The sequence below is a fragment of the Homo sapiens genome, chromosome X, assembly GCF_000001405.40.
Source record: "Homo sapiens chromosome X, GRCh38.p14 Primary Assembly".
NCBI classification, from domain to species: domain Eukaryota; kingdom Metazoa; phylum Chordata; class Mammalia; order Primates; family Hominidae; genus Homo; species Homo sapiens.
In genome coordinates, this window is record NC_000023.11 from 119272030 (window position 1) to 119294574 (window position 22545).

Genomic DNA, 22545 nt, shown 5'->3' on the forward strand with positions numbered 1-22545 from the left:
TTACTCCACCTCAAGTCAGCCCCATCCATCCTGATGTGTGTGGCAGCTGGGATCCTCCGGGCACCTTTGCCAGCAGGCCTATTCCACTAGTCACTTTCCTCTGTGCTCCACAAGGGTTGAAGGAAAAATCCCTTCATGGAAGTTACTCCATGCTTCAAGTTACTCCATTCTTTGAAGGCCTCCCCCAGCCTCTCTCCCCTCCCCCCGCCTCTCTCCCCTCCTCCCAAAAAACCAGAGCACAGAAAAATGTAACTGCTGGAATGTCACATGCTTCAAAAGGCAAACAAACAAAAAACCAGAATTTGAGAGGTCCCAACATATTTTTCCAAAAAATGGTTTTCTTAGCATGAAGAACGAGCCCTACCGATTGCACTGCACAAGTTTACACTCTCAACAGCATGAAGTTCCAAGGTTAGATCAGACATAGGCCGGAAAACAGGGCGAAATGGGCATGATCTTTGAGATCATATTCTCAATCTAGAAAAGACACCAAGAAGAGGCCCAAAGGGTAACCAGTTTCCCATACTGGAACCCAGCGTTCCAATACACGTTTGTTACCCCTCGGAGTTAGCAGCACTAGAAAGTTCTGCCTCCTGTAATGGTCGACTTTAAATAAAAACACAAAAAGCAGGAGACCAAAAGGCGGCACGGGTCCCAAGGACCACGACTATGATTTCCCCTGAGTGCGGGTATGGCATGCATATCCTACAGCATGGGCCTCCCCAACTTGATTCTTCCCCTCGCCTCTCGGCCCACCAACCCAAGCTCAGGATCTTGCATCCCGAAAGCGTTGTGGGTGAGCAAGCCACAGTCAGATTAAAACGGTCTTAATCCACCCCGCCGGAAACCTCAAGCCGAGACTCAGAATCTCTTGAGAAGTCCCTAAAGCCAAGGACGAGGGTCATCAGGGGGCGGCAGCGGCAGAGCCCTGCTAATGATGGGCACTTGGCGTACCGGTCGAGCAGGAGAGGGCACCTTCAGTTCCCATTAGCGGGATGTCACTGCCAACGTGCCTCAGGGGAATGCCTCGACCTTCGCCCAACAGCGGCCTGGGTGAGCCCTCGAGTGGGTTCCGGTGCGCTCCCTGGCTCAGCGGGGTCTCGAGTGAGGGGAGAGTGGACCTGGAAGAGCCTAGGCGTTACTCTGGAAAACGTGACTCTGCTGGGGCAAGCGGGGAACTCGGGTCTCTTGCGCAGCCCCTCCCCAGTCCCTACCGAAGGCCCAGCGTGGCTGCCTCCTCTGAGGACAGAGCCGAGGGCATTTACCGGGAGCTTCAGGAACCGTTCGTCTCTACTCCAGGATCCGGTAGGATAACGGGACTGCCGCCGCCGTCCCTGCCGCTGCCGCCAACGTCTATGCCGCCGTCGTCGCCTCCCTCTAACCGCCGCAGTCGCAACCGTCAGCGGTCCCAGTCACCCCGTGCGACTGTCGCTCGCGAGGCCAGCTGTTGAATGGCTCGCGTCGAGCTCACCGCGCGCAGAAGCGTCCTCGCTAAGAGGGCAACGCTGGCGCGCGACCCGGTGCCAACGCCCCGTGACCTCCTCGATCCCCTGAGGCTCTGGCGAGCTCACCGCGGCTGCCTAGTAGCTCGCGACTGCGGGTTCGTCTGCCCGCGCGCGGGCTGCCCTCAGAGCTCTGCCGCCCTGGCGGCTCGCCCTGAACTTGCAGGCAAGACCAGTGGCAATGATGGACTCTTCCCGCCCCCTGATTCCCCCAGGGCCAATCGCCTTCTCCTGAGGAGCCCTTCAAGTAACCCCGCCCCTCTCCTGCTGCAAAGGCCGAGCCAAAGTTTACCCCAAGGCGCCGCTACTCCCGAAGATTTCGAGGCTTTGATCATGCTACTCCCCCGTCAACCCCTACGAAGTTACAGTGATTTAGAGGCTGAAACTCACTTGGCCTACTAACCCCCACGCGACCTATTTCCTTTGAAAAAACGAGTATACAACTAACGAGAGAGGTGATGTTGTTCACCTCATCCCTGAAGTGGGACTGCTGAGAAGTGGCCACGCGCTCGGCCAAATTTACACATCAGGGAGTGAGGAAGAACCACAAAGGCCATCGACTGACTATCCTCGCATTGTTTTTTTCTGTTTCTGGGGCCTGCTTTCGGAGGCTGGCCAACTTCCAGCGACCAGGACTCACTGGCTCCGTGTACCACCGTTCGGGTCTCCGACTTCCTGGCTTGAGAGTGAGCGAAACCGGTCCCCTGGTAACTTCTGCACGTTTGAGGACATGCAAAGTCAGTCTTGTTCCTCCTGCCCATGGTGGTCCAACAATTTGAACACAATTCCAGCCACGTTCCTCCAGGCTCTGTTGCTCTAAAGACCTGGGTTCAAGGCTCGTCTCTGAATTTAATTCCTTTATATCTTTTGAAAGTGGAAGGCAGGAACTGAGTCTATCCTTTACACCCCACCCCACCCCAGAGTATAGACCCTTCAGCACAGAGGAGACCAGGATGGCCAAGTCCCTTATATAGACTTCTCTGGTGGAGCTCCCTCAGGTAGCATTCACTTTCTTGACTTCCATATCACAAGGCCCATTCTATAGAATATAGTTTTAATATATAATTAAAACTACAGAATATAGCTTAATATAGTTATAATATTTTGAATATTTTTATGCTTCAAAATAAAATCAAATATAACCATATTTTGTATCATTTAATCTCTTAAGTTATATTCCATCCAATATAAAACAAATCTGTGTACACTGATGCAGTATACATAATCATTTCAGTTAAATAAATTGACCTGAAAATTTAATAGCTATTCCTTATTGTGTTAGGTACCATGAAAAGGGTTTTACATATACAAACTGTATAAAGGTATTTAGTACTAATTAAAAAACTGTGACCGAAATTCCATTTTTTGTCCCCATTTTTTAAATGAAGAAACCGAGGCATAGAAAGTTTAAGCTACAGCCCTACATGAGCGATTAAATAACGAGAGCTGAGATTCTAATCTGAGCAATTTAGTTCTAGATGCTATGCTGCTGATCATTACGTTGATTTGTATTTTAGGTTATCCAATGCTCCAAATGGGATATATTAAAGTAATAACAATGGGAAAATTGCTTCTCTTGTCATCTAAAGCTTTTTGTTGTTGTTGTTGAATCTTAATGATTTTGTGCTTTAATTACTTTAGTGAAATATTTTCTTTTCTAATGCATAGACTATTGGGGAAAAGTAAAACAGAATTCAGCTTATCAATAAATGATATTCCTGTTAGTGTATTTCCGGGACTTTTGTTTCAAACAATATACATGAAGAATGCATGCCATTCATTTCATTTTGGGGCATAAGCAACAACAATTAAAAATAAAAACAAAAATAGAAATAATACCAAGAAAACTGACTTGAAAACCTATTACTACCAATGTCTGGGAAAAAAAATCATGGTTCAAAATCTAGTTATTCCCACTTATTAGCTTTATAACACAGCTTGGGCAAGTGACTTAATTTTCTAGGCCACTATTTTTTCATTTGCACAATGAGAATAATTCTTTGCAATGTCGTTTTGAACATTGGTATTTGGAACACCTAACCCAGAGACTGGCACATTGTGAGCATTTAATAAATGTCAGTGACATAATGCTTCAATCTCATCTTTTAATGAAAAGGCTTTCCTGGAGTGAGACCAAACCCTTGAATATACCAGTTACAAGAAGAGATTATCAGAAAAATTAGTCTTTTTTTAAAGATTTGCACAAAATATTTAGCAACAGAACTACCCTGTTATGCTATCATTTGATATATATTTTCAAAATATAATGTCACTCTAAGTGACATAATCAGTAAACATAGCACAGATAAACCTAAAAAAATTCCTAATCCTAGTTGTTACTCTTATAATAATCCTTTATTACTTAAATTATAATTAGAAAAGCCTTAACAAAACTAAAATTCTTAAAACATCTACATTTTAATGTAAGTTAAATACATCATAAGTGTAAGACACCATTAAAATTTAGAAAAATAAAACCTAAAGAGCAGTAAGCAATATGGCTTAGAATTCCCTCTAGCATTGCAAAATAAAAATAAAAGGGGCTTAAGCAGTTTCTTTTATTTGATGTGGCTTTCTCTTGAAGAATATAAATTTGATAGCAGATACCCAATTATCTTATTAAGGTCCATATCCATACACAGGGCAGAAAATTATCATTAATTTTCAACCGAAGTGACAACAGAATCCAAATATTAGAAAGAAAACAAATTTTTAACTTTTGCTGCCATAAATCCTTTATAACCCCCAATCAGTAATGCCTGTTTACTATCAAGTTTTAAGGTGAATAAAAAAAATCCAAGCAGATTATTCAAGTGTTCAATAATTTGAAATGCTGCCATTCTATTCTAGACCTTTGGAAATCAACGTGAGAAATGAATCAGGTTGCAAGGGATTCACCTACTGTAAGCTTCCTTCTGAGTCTGGACAAAATAAGAGTTATGTTATGTAGCATTGGAAAAGTGTCATGTAGCATTGATTTACTATGTTACTGATAGCACTGAAAAAAAAATCAACTTACCTTACCCGAGAAACAGCAAAAAGTGCAGTCTCCAAATGTTGTACTTTGGTTTTTTGTTAGTTTGTTTGTTTGTTTATTTTTGAGACACAGTATAGCTTAGTCACCCAGGCTGGAGTGTAGTGGTGCGATCTCAGCTCACTGCAACCTCCGCCTCCCAAGTTCAAGCAATTCTCCTGTCTCAGCCTCCTGAGTAGCTGGGATTACAGGCCACCATGCCCAGCTAATTTCTTTCTTTCTTTTTTTTTTTTTTTTTTTTTTTTTTAGTAGAGACAGGGCTTCACCATGTTGGCCAGGCTGGTCTCAAACTCCTGGTCTCAAGTGGTTCGCATGCCTTGGCCTCCCAAAGTGCTGGGGTTACAGGCATGAGACACTGTGCCTGGCCTGTTGTCTTTTGGATAAAATCATTAGCCGTGGGTACAACCTGAAAGCACAGAGTTGTATTGAAAGGCAGCCATGAAGCCCACTCAATTCATTTGACTCTCTTGCCTGTTAAAACTATTTGTGGAAATTTCTGCCCAGCGTGGTGGCTCACTCCCAGCACTTTGGGAGACCGAAGTGGGCGGATCACTTGAGGTCAGGAGTTCGAGACCAGCCTGGCCACCATGGCGAAACCCTGTCTCTACCAAAAAATACAAAAATTAGCCAGGCATTGTGGCACATGCTTGTGGTCCCAGCTACTCGGGTGGTCTCAGCTACTCAGGAGGCTGAGGCAGGAGAATCACTTGAACCCAGGAGGCAGAGGTTGCAGTGAACTGAGATCATGCCCCTGCCTCACTCTGGATGACAGAGTGAGAATCTATCTCATTAAAAAAAAAAAAAAAAGGCCAGGCGCGGTGGTTCACACCTGTAATACCAGCACTTTGGGAGGCCGAGGTGGATAGATCACTTGAGGTCAGGAGTTGGACACCAGCCTGGCCAACATGGTGAAACTCCGTCTCTACTAAAAAACACAAAAATTAGTCAGGCATGGTGGCACGCGCCTGTAATTCCAGCTACTCGGGAGGCTGAGGCAGGAGAATCACTTGAACCCAGGAGGTGGGGGTTGCAGTGAACCCAGATCGCGTGACTGCACTACAGCCTGAGCGACAGAGCAAGATTCCGTCTCAGAAAAAAACAAAAGAAAAGAAAAGACTTTTGTGGAAATTTTAGTTTACTTTAATATATTTATGTCACTGTGGAATGTAACTCTGTTACCTTTATATTTAAAAATTGGTTGAATCAATGAATATAGCAGAAACTAGTAGAAAATGTATTATTTTGAAACAAGGCAGCTCATTTATTTGAGCTTTCAATTCTTTTGGATATATACCCACAAGTGAAATTGCTGGATCATATGATAGCTCTGGGGGTTTTTGTGTGTGTGTTTTGTTGTTGTTGTTGTTGTTTGTTTGCTTGTTGGAAACCTCCATACTGTTTTCTATGGCAGTTGTACTATTTTTACATTCCCCTAACAGTACACAAAAGTTCTAATTTCTCCACATCCCTGCCAATGCTTATTTTCTGTTTATTTTTATAGCAGCCATTCTAATCAACGTAAGGTGATTTGTTCCTTATTTTTAGCCCAGGTATATACCCAATTATCTTACACAGTGTTTCATAGTATGAAAAATCCACTATCAATAAACAATTTGTTTGAGCCTGATCTTCAGTTATTTCAAACAATACTGCAGTGAACATCCATGTATGAATATCTTTATATATATGTTGGATACCTTTTGAAAGATAATTGTGAGGACAAAGGATATGTATATTTTTGTAGCTTTTTATTGTGATATAATTTCAGACTTACAGAGAAGTTGCAGGAACACACGTATTTCCCCAATTGTTAACAGTTTGTCGGTTTGTTTTATCATATTTTCTCTATATATGCATATTACCTTTTTTCTGAACCATGTGGGAGTAAATTTTAGCTATGAGGTCCATTTAACTTTAAATACTTCAGTATGTATTTCTTAGAACAAAATATTTCTCTTTCTGTCCTAGATGCATTTATGAAAAAAGAAAAAAATCTCTTTTTTTTTTTTTTTTCCTTTGAGACAGAGTTTCACTCTTGTTGCCCAGGCTGGAGTTCAAGGGCGCAATCTCAGCTCACCACAACCTCTGCCTCCCAGGTTCAAGTGATTCTCTTGCCTCAATCTCCCGAGTAGCTGGGATTACAGGGATGTGCCACCATGACCAGCTAATTTTGTATTTTTAGTACAGACGGGGTTTCTCCATGTTGGTCAGGCTGGTCTCGAACTCCCGACCTCAGGTGATCCTCCCACCTCGGCCTCCCAAAGTGTTGGGATTATAGGCGTGAGCCACTGTGTCCGGCCGAAAAAATCTCCTTACATAAGCACAGTGCAAATATTAACATCAGGAAGTTAATATCATAAAGTTCTATTATCTACCCTACAGGCCTTACTCATAATACTCCAATTGTGCAGATAATGTTCTTTGTAGCAAAAAAATTGGGGGGAGGGGGTCTGAGATGTAATTCAGCATCATATATTGCATTTTTCATTTATATCTAGCCTTCTTTCATCTTGAAACTGTTCTTCAGACTGTCTTTGACTTTCATGATTATGGCATTCTTTTCATTATTTTTAAATTACTACTACTACTATTATTATCATTTTAAACCAATCCTAAACTTATAGAAAAGTTGGAAGTGTAATACAGGTTGTTCTGGTTTTTTTTTCCTGAACCCTTTGAAAGTGATTTGCCACCCCAATGTCCCATTTCCCCTGAATAATTTAGTGTGTACCTTTTTATATTTTTAATGACAAGGATACTTTCCTGTCTAACCATGAATGAATCAACCATCAAAAATCAGGAAATTAACATTAATAGATTACTAACATTGAATCCCCAGGTACTATTTAAGTTTCATCAGATGTCTCAAAATGGTCTATTACAGCAAAAGGATCCAGTTCAGAATCGTGCAGTGCTTTTAATTGTCATGTGTCCTTCATCTCCTTCAGTCTGGAAGAGTTCCTTGGTCTTCTGTTGACTTTTAAGACTCAGGCACTTTTGGAGACTATGGGCCAGTTAATTTGGGAAATATCCCTCAATTTGAGTTTACCTGATGTTTCCCAATGATTAAATTTAGGTTACTTATTTTTGGCAGGGCTATCACAGAAGTGACGCTAGGCTCTAATTGCATTCTGTCAAGTGGAGCATAATTTCAACGTGTCCTATTACTACTCATGATGGTCATTTTGATCTCTTGACTAAGGTGGTAAGTGCTAGGCTTCTCCACTGTGAAGTTATTCTTTGTAATTAGTACATACCTTCTGGGGAAGTACGTTGAAACTGTGTAAATATTCCATTCCTCATCAAACTTTCAATTTATTCATTTATTTGTTTATACCAGTATAGACTTACGGTTTCCTATTTTATTCAATGGATTATAGTCCATTATTATCATTGTTTACTTTGATGCTCAAATTGTCCTAGATTTGGCCACTGGGAGCCCCTTTAAGCTGGTTTCCATGTCCCTTTGACATGACCCCATCATTTTTCGAGCACCTCCTTAGTTTCTGGCACAAAATATTCCAGGCTCATCTTGTACTTTGCCTTCTGTAGTCCCAAAATCAGCCTGGAGAAGCCCTGATTCCTTTTAGTGGAAATGGTATCTAGAAGCCAAATCTGAGCAGCAGGTGTATATATTGTTGTTGGTGTGTTGCTGCTCCCTGAGCCTCTCAGAGTCCTCACTTATATACACTTACACACACACACACATTTTTATCTATCTATCTATCCATCTGTCATTTATCTAACCATGAGTTTACTCTGATATATCCAATCCAACACCACAGGGTTCATTCTAATTTTCTTTCTTTCTGCATTAGTAATAATTTATGACAATGAGAAGATAGCTTACATCATTCTTAATATATTTACTCATTTTTATCAATACTCCTCTATGTAACTGTGCCGGGAGGTTTCTAAGATAGCCCTCGGTGATCCCTGCCTCCTGGTATTCAACCACTTGTGGAATCACCTCCCCTGGAGTGTGAGTTGGATTTAGTGAATCACTTCTAATGACAGAATACAGCAAAAGTTATGGGATGTTACTTCCGAGATTAGGTTATAAGATGACTCTGGCTTCTAGTCTCTCTCTTCCTCCCTCCCCTTGCCCTACCCACTCCTCCCTTTCTCTCTCTCTCTCCCCCTCCCATCCTCCCTCTCAGTAGCTGAGGGAAGCTAGATGCCCTTATGGAGAGACCCACATGGCAAGGAGCTGAGAGAGCCTTCTGGCCACAGCCATTGAGCAACTGAGGTCTTCAGTCAACGCCCCTTGAAGAAATAAATCCTACCAACAACCACATGAGTGTGCTTGGAAGCAGAGCCTCCCTCAGTTGAAGCTTCAGATTTTAGCTTTGTGAGAGACTCTGAGCCAGAGACACCCAGCTAAGCCATGCCCAGATTCCTGCCACATAAAAACTGAGATAATAGATGTGTATTGTGTTAAGCTGCTGAGTTTTGGGGGTAAATTGTCACACAGAAAAAGATACTAACACTTGGCTGGGTGCGGTGGCTCATGCCTGTAATCCTAACACTTTGGGAGGCCGAGGCAGGTGGATCACTTGAGCTCAGGAGTTTGAGACCAGCCTGGGTAACATGGTGAAACCCTGTCTCTACCAAAAATACAATAATTAGCCGGGCATGGTGGTGTGTGCCTGTGGTCCCAGCTACTCAGGAGGGTGAGGTGGGAGGATCGCTTGAGTCTGGGAGGCAGAAGATGCACTGAGCCGAGATCATCATACCACTGCACTCCAGCCTGGGTGACAGAGACTCCATCTCAGAAAAAAAATTTAAAAAAAAGCAAAGAAATAAATACTGAAAAAGTAATCAATCTCCCATGTCCATTGCCACCCCTCCCTGACAGCTCTGTTCTCCCTGCCTGGGTGCCTCTGATTCTCCATAACCAGCCTCCCTGCCTCATGGATTCCCTCTGCAGCCTGCTCAGACTCTGGCTCCCTACATCACCTCTCCCCCATGTGTATGACCTCCTCGTTCCACTCAGGCTCCAACAGCCCATGCCATGCCACTCCATCATGCGGATGTCCTTGTTAGCCCTCTGAGGCTCTGACTTCCCACACCAGGCTGCCCCTCCACAGGGATGCCTTCACCAACTTGCTTGACTCTGATCCCTCATAGCAGCCTGTCTTCTACACACAAACCCCTTGCCAAATTGCCCTCCAAAAATCTTGTATCAATTTACACTTAGTTTATCTCTGTCTGCCTCTCCTTTTTTTTCTTTTTCTTTTCTTTCTTTTTTTTTTTTTTTTTTTTGAGACCGAGTCTTGCTCTGTCTCCCAGGCTGGAGTGCAGTGGCACAATCTCAGCTCACTACAACCTCCGCCTCACGGGTTCAAGCAATTCTCCCGCCTCAGCCTCCCAAGTAGGTGGGATTACAGGCATGCACCAGCACGCCTGGCTAATTTTCGTATTTTTAGTAGAGACGGGGTTTCACCATATTGGCCAAGCTGCTTTCGAACTCCTGACCTCAGGTGATCCGCCCGCCTCAGCCTCCCAAAGTGCTGGGATTACAGGCATGAGCCACCGTGCCCGGCCTCCCTCTCCATTTTCTTTCTTCTCTCACAGGGTGCTGGTTGGCTTTTCCTTCACTGTTTCTAGGTTTCCTCCCAATGAAATGTCAAATGGTCCAATTCTTCTTAAAAAAAAATCGGCCCGGGGCAGTGGCTCACGCCTATAATCTCAGCACTTCGGGAGGCCGAGGTGGGTGGATTACCTGAGGTCAGGAGTTCGAGACCAGCCTGGCCAACGTGGTGAAACCTCATCTCTACTAAAAATACAAAAAAAAAAAAAAAAAAAACCCGGCTGTGGTGGCGGGCACCTGTAATCCCAGCTCCTCAGGAGGCTGAGGCTGGAGAATTACTTGAAGCCGGGAGGCAGAGGTTGCAGTGAGCTGAGATTGCGCCATTGCACTCCAGCCTAGGTGACAAGAGCAAAACTCCATCTCAAATAAATAAATAAATAAATAAATAAATAAATAAACAAACAAACAAACAGTTGGGTTTATCTGAACTGGCATATCTAAATAGGGAGCATTTCCACCTTCAAAATGCAAATCTTCTCTTTCACTCTCACTGACAGTTAGGGACTTATATCCTTGGTCAGTGAGTTGTAATATAGAGAACTATAAAGAGGAAAAAAAGGAAGTATTTATAGGAATATGCTTTCCAACAGCTTGTGACAAGGATGGGCATTTAAACTGTAGACATACAGGAACTTTTCCAAAAAGGGTTCCTTTGCTCTTTGTTAAGTTCCAGATGCATAAAAATCTAACTGAGAAGGGGTCATTTCTTTCTTAGCCCATTTTTTAGCTTTCAGGTTACAGTATGTGGTCATACGTGTATTTATTCTACCTGGAGCTCAAGCTAGTCTGGCTTTATGTCTCTCTGTCCCTTAGGGTAATATTTATACTTAACGTTTATAAGGTACTTTATGTGACTCTCTTAATTCATCCAGTCCATATAATAGCATTAGGAGTTTGCTATTTCTGCCCCTGTTTAACATATGAGGGAAAACTGAACCCCTAAAAGGGGGCGATTTACCCAAGGTCACATAGCCAGTTAGTAACAAAACTGGGGCTGAAACTCAAGTCTTCTGACTCCAGCCCCAAGAATCTTTTTTTTTTTGGAGACAGAATCTCTCTGTCATTTAGGCTGGAGTACAGTGGCACGATCTCAGCTCACTGCAACCCCCACCTCCCAGGTTCAAGAGATTCTCCTGCCTCAGCCTCCAAGTAGCTGGGATTACAGGTGGTACCTGCCACCACGCCCAGTTAATTTTTATATTTTTAGTAGAGACAGGGTTTCACCATCTTGGCCAGGCTGGTCTCGAACTTCTTACCTCAAGTGATCCGCCCGCCTCGGCCTCCCAAAGTGCTGGGATTACAGGTGTGAGCAACCAAACCCAGTCCAGAAATCTTTCCACTTTATTCTACTGCCTCTCTGGGTTCTTCTCTTTCAAAGAAGTATTCTTGAAAGCTTAAGTTCCCCTTCCAAGTTGGAGCCTGAATATATTGAAACCCCTGCCCAAGCTGCCTGGTAGACTATATTTAGCCAGGCCAAATCAGCTCTTTAGAAGTGAATTGTGCTTGAATTTCCCTGCAGCTCTTTATTGCATCATCAAAAATTTTTTTAAAGTCTTGGGGATATTAAGATTATTACTCTTACTGAAAAAATTAACATAGCAATAAACTGATATATTAAGCAAAAAAATCCAACACCTTCATCACTATGTTGAGAACTGGTTTTGCTGTTAAGTGGTTAGGATTAATTTAAGAAGATAAAACAGATGCCACTGAAATAAATTAAATGTCCTCCAAAGAAGACTGGTTAAATAAATAGCAGTACAAGGAAATACTCTATAGGTGTTTGAAAAGAATGAGGCAGATCAGGCCGGGCGCAGTGGCTCACTCCTGTAATCCCAGCACCTTAGGAAGCTGAGGCAGGCAGATCACTTGAGGTCAGGAGTTTGAGACCAGCCTGGCCAACATGGTGAAACCTCATCTCTACCAAAAATATAAAAAATTTGCCGGGTGTGGTGGTGCACACCTGTAATCCCAGCTACTTGGGAGGCTGAGGCAGGAGAATTGCTTGAACCTGGGAGGCGGAGGTTGCAGTGAGCCGATATTGTGCCACTGCACTCCAGCCTGGGCGACAGAGAGAGACTCTGTCTCAAAAAAAATAAAAGAATGATACAGATCGATATGTGTTGATAAGGAGTGCTCTCCTAGCTACATTGTTAAGTAAATACAAATACAAATAAAAAACAGTGTGAACAGTATCCTGTCATTTGTAAAATACATTCATATATACACATATATATATACATGAATTTGTATGTGGATAGAATAATAGAATTTCTCCAGAGGAATACACACAAAAAATGAAATAGTGGATACTTCTGTAGAGAGTAAATGGGTGACAAAGGTGGGGAAGAAATATACTTTTCACTGTCTCTTTACATCATTTTTTTCGTACCATTTGCATTTTTGCCAAAGGCCTGTATTGCCTATTAAAAATAATTTTAGTTGTATAGTGCTTTACAATTTTAAAATATTGTTTAATATATAATTTTATTGAATATATATGCAATCCAAAGTAGTAAGTATTATGCCTTTCTCATAGAGATCTTCAAACTGGTTCCAATCTCCACCCTACTTTTCAGCTTTCCCTCTCTTCACTCGCTGCATGCTCCAGCCACATCTTAGAGAAGATTGATCTCCACTTTCCCTCTCTCCTTGCCAGCATGGCTCCAGCTCCACTCTCTTACTCGCTTCTAATTAATGTAACTAGGCATTGTGTTCTATAATTACAGGGCTTGTCAGTGAAATCAATAGTTACCTCCCATATGACAATGACATTTTAGCTTCATCAATCTCCTTGGAGCCCAGTAGCTTCTCTGAGCCAACAAAACCCCCAAGATTATTAACATATCCCTTTGCTCTCACTCATCTTCATGCATGTGTATAAATCAGCAGATTCTCAATCCACAATTTCATACACCCTGCCGATGATTATTTGGTGATAAAATGACAATCAAATTTATATTTTAATGGCTTTATTGAGGTGTAATTTACATACCACAAAATCCACTATTGTACATGTACAGTTCTATGATTTTTAGTAAATATAAAGAGTTGTGCAACCTCAAAGGCATAGTTTTTCATGATAATCTTAAGAATCTAACTTAAAATAACCTAGATTATAATAGGTTTCTGACATACTCAGTTTCTTTCCTCTGACTTCAACTCTCAAGTGTGTTCCCTGCCTTACTTTTCAATGGAAGACACCTAATTATATTGTTTCCTTAAAATTACAGCATGTGAGACTTGGAAGGGCCCTTAGAAATCAACTACAGATAGGAAACTTAGATCCAGATAGGACATATGATTTGCCCAGAGACATATAACAGGTTAATGGCAGAGTCAGAACTAAAACCCAGGAATTTTTTTTTTTGTCGCCCAGGATGGAGTGCAGTGGTACAATCTCTGCTCACTGCAACCTCTGCCTCCTGGGTTCAAGCGATTCTCCTGCCTCAGCCTCCAGAGTAGCTGGGATTATAGGCGCGCACCACCACACTCGGCTAATTTTTGTATTTTTAGTAGAGATGGGGTTTCACCATGTTGGCCAGGCTCATCTCAAACTCCTGACCCCAAGCGATCTGCCTGCCCCAGCCTCCCAAAATGCCAGGATGACAGGCGTGAGCCACCAAGACCGGCCAAACCCAGGATTCTTATTACAAACCCAATCAACTCCCTATGACAACACCGAGCCTCTTCTCTCAAGCATTGCTAATGTCCTGGAAATCAGTGAATCAACCATCATTAATCAATTTGCCTGGCTAAATCTGAAGATTTGATGATGGGAAAAGGGCTTGGCTTGAGGGTGGGTCTAGAGAACAGGTAGGAGATATAAACTCTTTTCCTTTACATTCCTTCTGGATGAATTTCTTTCTTAGTATTTAGGACAACTAACGGAGAAGATAGGTTCCTTTCTGTCTAAAGAAGGATCTTATGATTATCTGTCAATAGTACCTATCATTATTATTACTCTTATTATTATTGTATTTTCTCCAGCGTATGTTAGCAAGATGTGAAGGTGGTATGAAACTGTAGCCAAGAAACCACATAGGCACCGCTTCCTGCTTTTGCCTAAAACTGTGCTAAAATTAGCCCCTAATCCCCACGGATTTGAGCCAGGGAAAGCAATGTAGCTTCTCATCTTGTTTTTCTAGCAATCAGTAAGTTGCTAGACAGTTGTAAGTTAAACAACTGATGATAAAGAGAGAAATAAATTGTATATATTTGTGTGATGAGAACTAAAAATGCTCTCTGTCACCAACTATAGTGTTACTTGGTGTCACCATAGTAGGAGGGACCAGGCCAACAATTTTGAGATGCTGAATATGGCATTCTGAACTTAACGAGAAAACTCCAAAATACTCAGATTGACATGGAATCACCATCAACTACTTTTAAATTTTTTATTAGAACCTTACCTCCCTTTTGAGTACAACACCAGAAAAAAAAGAAAGAAAGAAAGAAATCATATCTCCCCCTTAAAAACCATCTTCCCCCACCCCCAGTAATTCCTATTCTAAGAATATATCCTAAGAAAAAGCAGAGATTCATGTACAAAGAAATTCATCACTGTTTTTTCCTTTTTTTTTTTTTTTTTAGAGACAAAGTCCCACTCTGTCGCCCAGGCTGTGGTGCAGTGGAGTGATCGCTGTGATCTCAAACTCCTGGGCTCAGATCCTCCTGCCTCAGCCTCCTGAGTAGCTGGAACTACAGGCACACGTCACCATGCCTAGCCAGTTAAAAAAAAATTGGGGGTAGCAACAGGGTCTTGCTATGTTACCCACACTGGTCTCAAACTCCAAGCCTTAAGTAATCCTCCCACCTCAGCCTCCCAAAGTGTTGGGATTACAGGCATGAGCCACCACACCTGGCCCCCATCACAATTTTTATAAGAGTAAAACATTGGAAATAATTTAAAACAATTGAGGGTGCTTAAATGAAATACAATAACTCCATAAAAGGGAATTGTATGCAGCCATGAAAAATCACCATCTCAAAAAAATCTTTTCAAAAATTTTTATCATTTGTAACAGTTTTCTGAGATAATAATTTGTATACCATAAAATTCACTAATTTAAAGTGTAAAATTCACTAATTTAAAGTGTAAAATTCAAAGGTTTTCAGTACATTTACAGAGTTATTAAACTATCACCACAATCTAATTTCAGAACATTTTTATCGCCCCAAAAGAGTGTTCGTACCCCTTAGCAGTCACTCCTCACACTCTCAACCTATAAATTGATAAGAAAAATGCAAATGATCCAAAAGAAGATTGGACAAAGGAAAGTAAGTCACAGAAGGAGACATGCAAATGAATATAAATATTAAAATATATTTATATTTACAAGTGATAAAGGAAATGGAAATAAACACAGTGAGATACCATTTTTCCATTTACTATTTTCATCAGCAAAAATGAGAAACACTGGTAACATCCGCTACTGGTAAGCATCAGGGAAACAGGCGTTCTCATACATAGTTGTTAAGAGTATTGGCCGGGTACAGTGGTTCATTCCTGTAATCCCAGCACTTTGGGAGGCCGAGGCGAACAGATCAGTTGAGGCCAGGAGTTTGAGACCAGCCTGGCCAACATGGTGAAACCCCATCTCTACCAACAATACAAAAATTAGCCAGGCATGGTGGCACACGCCCATAATCCCAGCTACTTGGAAGGCTGAGGCAGGAGAATCTCTTGAACCTGGGAGGCAGAGGTTGCAGTGAGCTGAGATCGCACAACTGCACTCCAGCCTGGGCAACAGAGTAAGACCCTGCTACACACACAAAAAAAGACTATGAATTGTTAAAACCTTTTTGGAAAATAATCCAGCACCATTTAACTTTTTTAAAGCACATACCATTGGGGCCAGGAACCCCACTTCGGGAATTTATCCTATAGAAATTAAAATACCAGAATGTAAAGATAGATGTACAAAACCATAGGAATAGCGAGTTACAGAGCCATGTGTGTAGTATGATAGCATCTTTATGCCAGTAACTGTTCTTCACATAAAAAATGCATGCCTGCTTTCAGTCCTCCCAGAAACCCTATGACTGCAGACAATATTCTTACTCTCCAGAGGGGAAACTGGGGCTCAGAGAAATGAAGCAATGTACTTTAGGTCTTACACAGTTACCAAATGGCAGAGCTAGCATTCCAATCCAGGTCCATCTGGTCCCCCAAACCAAGATATCTGCCAAGGATGATAACTTTCTGGTTAGAGTACCTGAAACTCCCTCAGTAGAGGTGGGACTAATCTTTCAGGATGTCATTTTTAAGAGTGCAAAGTGAATTCACGTCTCAATGAAAGGGATAGAAGTTTGTAATGCTGGAATTTGGTGAGAGAATAGTTAGTAGTGGAAAAGGGTTGTGGGGAACATGAAAAACTCAATAATTAAAATTCATTTATTCATTTATCTAACAAATATTTATTAGCATTTACTATGTAACAGGTACTGTTTAAAGCATTGAAGGATTTATCAATGAATAAAACAGAAAAATCCCTTCCCTTGGAAATTTACATGGGGGGAGGGGGCTGAAGCAGACAATAAACAAATTACATATGAAAATAACATATGAGATGGCGAATAGTGTTATAAAGGGATATCCTTTCAAGTTCACATAGTTGTTAACGGAATTTGCTTCCTTGCAGCTGTAGAATTCATGAAAATTTGCTTCTTTCAGGCTAACAAGAGAGAGTAGATCTGTGATCTCTAGACTTCGTTTTAAAGAGCTCACCTGATTAGGTCAGGCTTGCCCTGGGTAATTTTCCATTTGATTAACTCAAAGTTAACTTCTAACTAAGGACCTTAATTACATCTACAAAAATTTCTTTACCTTTACCACATAACAATCTAATCACCAGAGTGACATCCGTCATATTCACAGGTTTCACCCTCACTCAAAGGAAGGGGATTATTCATGGTATGTACACCAGGGGGCAGGAATCACGGGAGCAGATGTCAATTGGGCAGTTGGATATATGAGTCTGGAGCTCAGGGCTGAGGTCTGAATTGGAGATGTACGTTATGATGTCATCAACACATAGATGGTATTTAAAGCTATGAGATTGTATGAGATTTAAAGCCTCCAAAAAAAGTAATATTGATAGATAAGAGATCTGAGGTATGAGCCCTGGAGAACACGAATGTTTAGAGGTTGGGAAGATGAAAAGGAAACAACAGTGGAGACAGACAAGAAGGAGCTAGTGAGGTAGGAGGCAAACCAGGAGAGTATCTTGTCCTGGAAGCCAGGTGAAGAAGGTGTTTCAAGGAGGAGGGAGTGATCAACTATGTCAAGTGCTCCTGCTTGGTCATGTAAGATGATGACAGGATAGTCCATTGAATTTAGTAACATGACAGTGGTCCTGACAAAAGCAGCTTACGTGGAGTGGTTGGGGTGATAGCCTCATTTGAATTTGTTCAAGAGAGAAAGAGGAGAGAGAAATTGGAGTTGGCAAGTGTAGACAATTCTTTCAAAGAACTTGGCTGTAGACAGGAGTGGAGAAATGGGTGCATTAGCTAGAACAGAAAGTGGGGTCAAGGCCGGGTGTGGTGGCTCACACCTGTAATCCCAGTATTTTGGGAGGCCGAGGTGGGCAGATCACCTGAGGTCGGGAGTTGAAGACCAGCCTGACCAACATGGAGAAACCCCGTCTCTACTAAAAATACAAAATTAGTTGGGCATGGTGGTGCACGCCTGTAATCCCAGCTACTTGGGAGGCTGAGGCAGGAGAATCGCTTGAACCCGGGAGGTGGAGGTTGTGGTGAGCCGAGATCGTGCCACTGCACTCCAGCCTGGGCAACAAGAGCAAAACTCCATCTCAAAAAAAAAAAAAAGTGGGGTCAAGAGAATTTTTTATTATGGAAGAAAAACATGCCTATATGCCGATGGGAATTGCCCAATAAGAAGGAAAGTTCGATTATGTGTATGGAGGAGAGGGCTTGCTGGAACAATGACCTTGAAGTAGTAAGAAAGAATGAGATCCAGAGTACAGGTGGAAGGGTTGTACAGATAGGTCATCTACAGAAATGTGATGGAAGGCAGAATATAGGCAAAAATGCAGGCAGATGGGTAGATGTGTTTTGAGGGTCTGTGGCAATTGTCCTCTGATACTCTGATTTTTAGGGCAAACCGAAAGTGTCTCCTGCATTCTCCCACACTGCCTGGAGTGTCAGCATGAGATTACTTTCAGGTGTTCCCGCAAAACAGGCACATTTTATGTACCACTTGTACCACTTAAGAGGGGATTTTAGTAGCTTTGTGTTTAACATTTATTAGAAGAAGGTAACTAGTACACCTAATGCATGATTTTTCAGATATAATTGCAATTTTAAAATGTAAACAAAAGAAAAGTGTTAGCTAAAGTACAGAAGAGGTTGAAGGGATATAGCAAAACTTTTAGTCAGTTGTGAATAACTGACCCTTGAGAGAATGTCTTAAGGTACTGGATCTGCTGGAGTCCCTCTTTAAGAGCAGACATCTCTGAGATAACACATTTAGTCAGCTTCATTCCTGAAATTCTACTGTGAATGAAACTGAGACATATCAGGACTGAAAGGAATCCCCCAGGGTCTGCTAGTTTACATTCAAGGATAAAGAACTCTATACCACTGAAGACTGAGACAGTTTCTTTCATCCTGAGGGGCCTCTGACTAAAAGCAAAACAAAAATACAACAAATTGAAAAGGCAAAATTTCTTATATAACCACACAGTGAATATAAACAGAAAGCCTAGAGCCATGCATTATGGGAGATGCCACAGGGAAAGGAGTCTGTAGATGATTGAGAAAAAGGGTTTCTCCAGGTAGAGAGATAGGAAATTGTGGTAGACAGAATAATGAATCCTCGAAGATGTCTATGTCTTAAACCCCTGGAAGCTGTGAATATGTTACCTTACATGGCAAAAAGGACTTTGCAGATGGGATTAGTTAAGGATCCTGAGATGGGAAGATTATCCCGGATTATCCAGATGGGCCCAGTGTAATCACAGGGGTCCCTGTAAGAGGGAGGCAGGAGGATCAAAGTCAGGGAAGATGTGATGACAGAAGCAAAGGTTGCAGTGATGTGCTCTGTAGATGGAGAATACAGTCACAAGCAAGAAATTCAGACGGCCTCTGGAAATGGCAAGAAAACAAATTCTCCCTTAGGGCTTCTAGAAGGAACACAGTCCTGCTGTGATATGGTTTGGCTCTGTGTCTCTACTCAAATCTCATGTTGAATTGTAATCCCCAGTGTTGGGGGAGGGACCTGGTGGGAGGTGATTGGATCATGGGGGTGGATTCCCCCCCTGCTGTTCTCATGGTAGTGAGTTCTCACGAGATCTGGTTGTTTAAAACTGTGTAGCACCTCCCCCTTCACTCTCTCTCCTGTCACCATGTGAAGGTGTGCTTGCTTCCCCTTCATATTTTGCCATGATTATAAGTTTCCTGAGGCCTACCCAGCCATGGCTCCTGTATAGCCTGCAGAACTGTGAGTCAATTAAATCTCTTTTCTTTATAAAGTCTCAGGTAGTTTTTTTATAGCAATGTGAGAATGGACTAATACATACTGACAGCTTGATTGTAAAACTTTTGGCCTCTAGAACTGTCAGATAGTAAGTCTGCATTATTTTAAGCCACTAAATTTGTGTTAGTTTATTAGAGTGGCAATAGGAAATTAATACAGACATGATGGAAACTTAGAATGCCAGGTTTGAAAAGGCTTTCTGGCAAAGCCTCCTGTCTGGCCTGTTGATTCCTGGAAGATGGGAGTGAAACAGATCCGAATTCATAGCATATTTTCTTTATTGTTCTTGTGGCTCTTGGCATATGTTTCTCTGTATTAATATTAGTTATCTTCCCATTAGATGTACGCTACTTGTGGGCAGATTCAGTTAGCATATAGCACAGGACCTTGCCCATCTAACAGGCAAGCAGCAATGATGCTTTGCAATTGCATAATTTTAGCTGGAGTTTCTAAAAGGCTTTCACATATGACCCTACAGGCATCAACATAAACTGAAAATAGAAGGGCAGGAATTATAGAAGGTGTCACAGATTGGAGAGAGGAAGTTCCCAGAAGAGACTGTAAAAGAGACACTTGGAGTGAGAAAGAGAGGAAAGGGGACAAATGCCAAGGAAAGGAAATGAGTTTTCCTTACCCAGGAAAAATTGGCGAAGGCTCACAACCTTTGACTCTTATCTTGAAAGCAAGCCAGGAGGCCTATGCAGGAGTGAGAGAAGCCACAAATCACTACATGGCCCGTGGAAGTAGAGCAGGTTGGATCCCAGCTGAGGGTCCCATCCAGCATCCTGACCCCCACTCCTATCCTAGCCAGTCTGACTGGCAGGAATGCAAAAGGGATGTTTCCTGCCTGCCTCAAGAGTTTGGTAACTCTTCCATTAGGTAGCTGGTTAGATCTGGAGGAGAAAGCTACATAACCCACTTGGGGTTTCAGAGGGAGCCAAAGTCAACTTCTTCAGCACAATGCCAGGCAAGCTAGACAGATGGCAGCAGAGGAGCTATCAGCTCCTGAATTTCAAAGACCAGCCAAGGGGAGAGACAGAGCTTGGCCACCATGGAAATAGAGAAGCCCAAGAAGATAGGGGACCCATAATTTTCAGGCCTAGTAATTCTCAATGTCCATGTATAGTCCACTCATGTGACTTAATGTCTTATGGGCAGTATTTTTCAGTCAATTATGCCTTGTAAAACAACTCTGGGAAGAGGAACTATTCTGTGAAATTGCTGGGTCATATAGTAGTTGCATGTTTAGTTTTTTAAGAAACCATAGTCAGGTGCAGTGGCTCATGCCTGTAATCCCAGCACTTCGGGAGACCGAGGCAGGTGGATCACTTGAGGACAGGAGTTCGAAACCAGCCTGGGCAATATGGCAAAACCCCATCTCTACAAAAAATACAAAACATTAGCCAGCATGGTGGCCCATGCCTGTGGTCCCAGCTACTTGGGAGGCTGAGGTGGGAGAATCGATTGAGCCCAGGAGTTTGAGGCCGCAGTGAGCCATGATCACACCACTTCACTCCAGCCTGGGTGACAGAGGGAGACCCCAAAAGAAAGAAAGAAGGAAAGAAAGAAAGAAAGAAAGAAAGAAAGAAAGAAAGAAAGAAAGAAAGAAAGAGGAAAGAAAGAAACTGCCATACTCCCTTCCAGTATGATTGTATCATTTTACATTCCAAACAACAATGTACATAAGTGATTCCATCTCTCCACACCCTTACTAGCATTTGATGTTGTCTCTAATATTATTTATTCTGACAAATACATAGTGATACTTCAATGTGGTTTTAATTTGCATTTCCCTTACAATGAACATCATTAACTATGCTTATTTGCTATCTATATCTCCTCATTCATGGAATGACTCTTCATGACTTTTGTTCATTTTCTGATTGAATTGATTGGTTTTATTTTTTAACTGTTAAGTTTTTGGGAGTTCTTTAAATATTCTGTATACAGGTCCTTTGTTGGATATGTGGTTTGCAAATATTTTCTCCAAGCTTATAGCTTGCCTTTTCATCCTCTTTCGCAAAGCAGAAGTTTTTCATTTTGATTAAGTCCAATTTATAAATTTTTCCTTTTATGGCTAATGCCTTTGGTGTCAGGTATGAGAACTATTCACATAGCCCTAGATCCCAAAGATTTTCTCCTGTGTTTTTTTTTCTAAAACCTTTATAGTTTTGTGTTTTACACTTAAGTTCATAATCCATTTTGAGTTGATTTTTGTGTAAGATGTGATATATAGGTCAAGGTGTTTGTTTGTTTGTTTGTTTGTTTTTTGCCTGTGGATATCCAATTGTTTTAGCATCATTTGTTGAAAAAGCTATATTTCCTCCATTGACATTCTTTTGTGCATTTGTCAAAAATCAGTTTGCCATATTTGTTTTTAAGAGTCTGTCCTGGATTCTCTCTTCTGTCCCTCCAATCTGTGTTTATCCCTCCACCAATACCACACTATCTTGACTACCGTAGCATCATATTAAGTCATAACACAAGTGATTCCATATACTTTAATCTTATTAACTTATTTTCACTACGTTTTAACTATTCTAGGGCCTGTTGCTTTACATATAAATTTTAAAATAAACATGTCTTTGTCTACAAAAGTTCTTGCTATGATTCTAATAATTATTGCATTAAACTTGTATATCAATTTGGGGAGAATTGATGTCTTTACTGTGTTCAGTTTTCCATCCATGGTATGTCTCTCCATTTATATAGATCTTTGATTTCCTTCATCAGAATTTTGTAGTCTTCAGCATACAAGTGCTTTACATGTTTTGTTAGATTTGCACTGAAGTATTAAATTTTTTAGCTATTGTAAAAGTATTCTATTTTTCATTTCAGTGTCCACACATTCATTGTTGATCTAGTATCTGACAGCCTTGCTGAATGCATTTATTAGTTCTAGGTTTTTAAATGATTC

At 41.6% G+C, this 22545-nt stretch overlaps 1 long non-coding RNA gene across 1 annotated transcript in view, besides 1 other annotated feature; it reads left to right on the forward strand.

Moving 5' to 3' along the window:
- Nucleotides 1619-1678: a silencer, noted in NCBI's record as "silent region_20956". NCBI's record gives its function as "represses an Ori minimal core promoter by ATAC-STARR-seq in GM12878 lymphoblastoid cells {active_cell/tissue: GM12878}" and the evidence as "EXISTENCE:reporter gene assay evidence [ECO:0000049][PMID:35858748]".
- Nucleotides 19500-22545, forward strand: part of LINC03098 (long intergenic non-protein coding RNA 3098) — a 44082-nt gene continuing 41036 nt past the window's right edge. The window contains exon 1 of the long non-coding RNA NR_110396.1: nt 19500-19592. This is a non-coding gene — a long non-coding RNA (long intergenic non-protein coding RNA 3098). The remainder of the gene's footprint in view (nt 19593-22545) is intronic.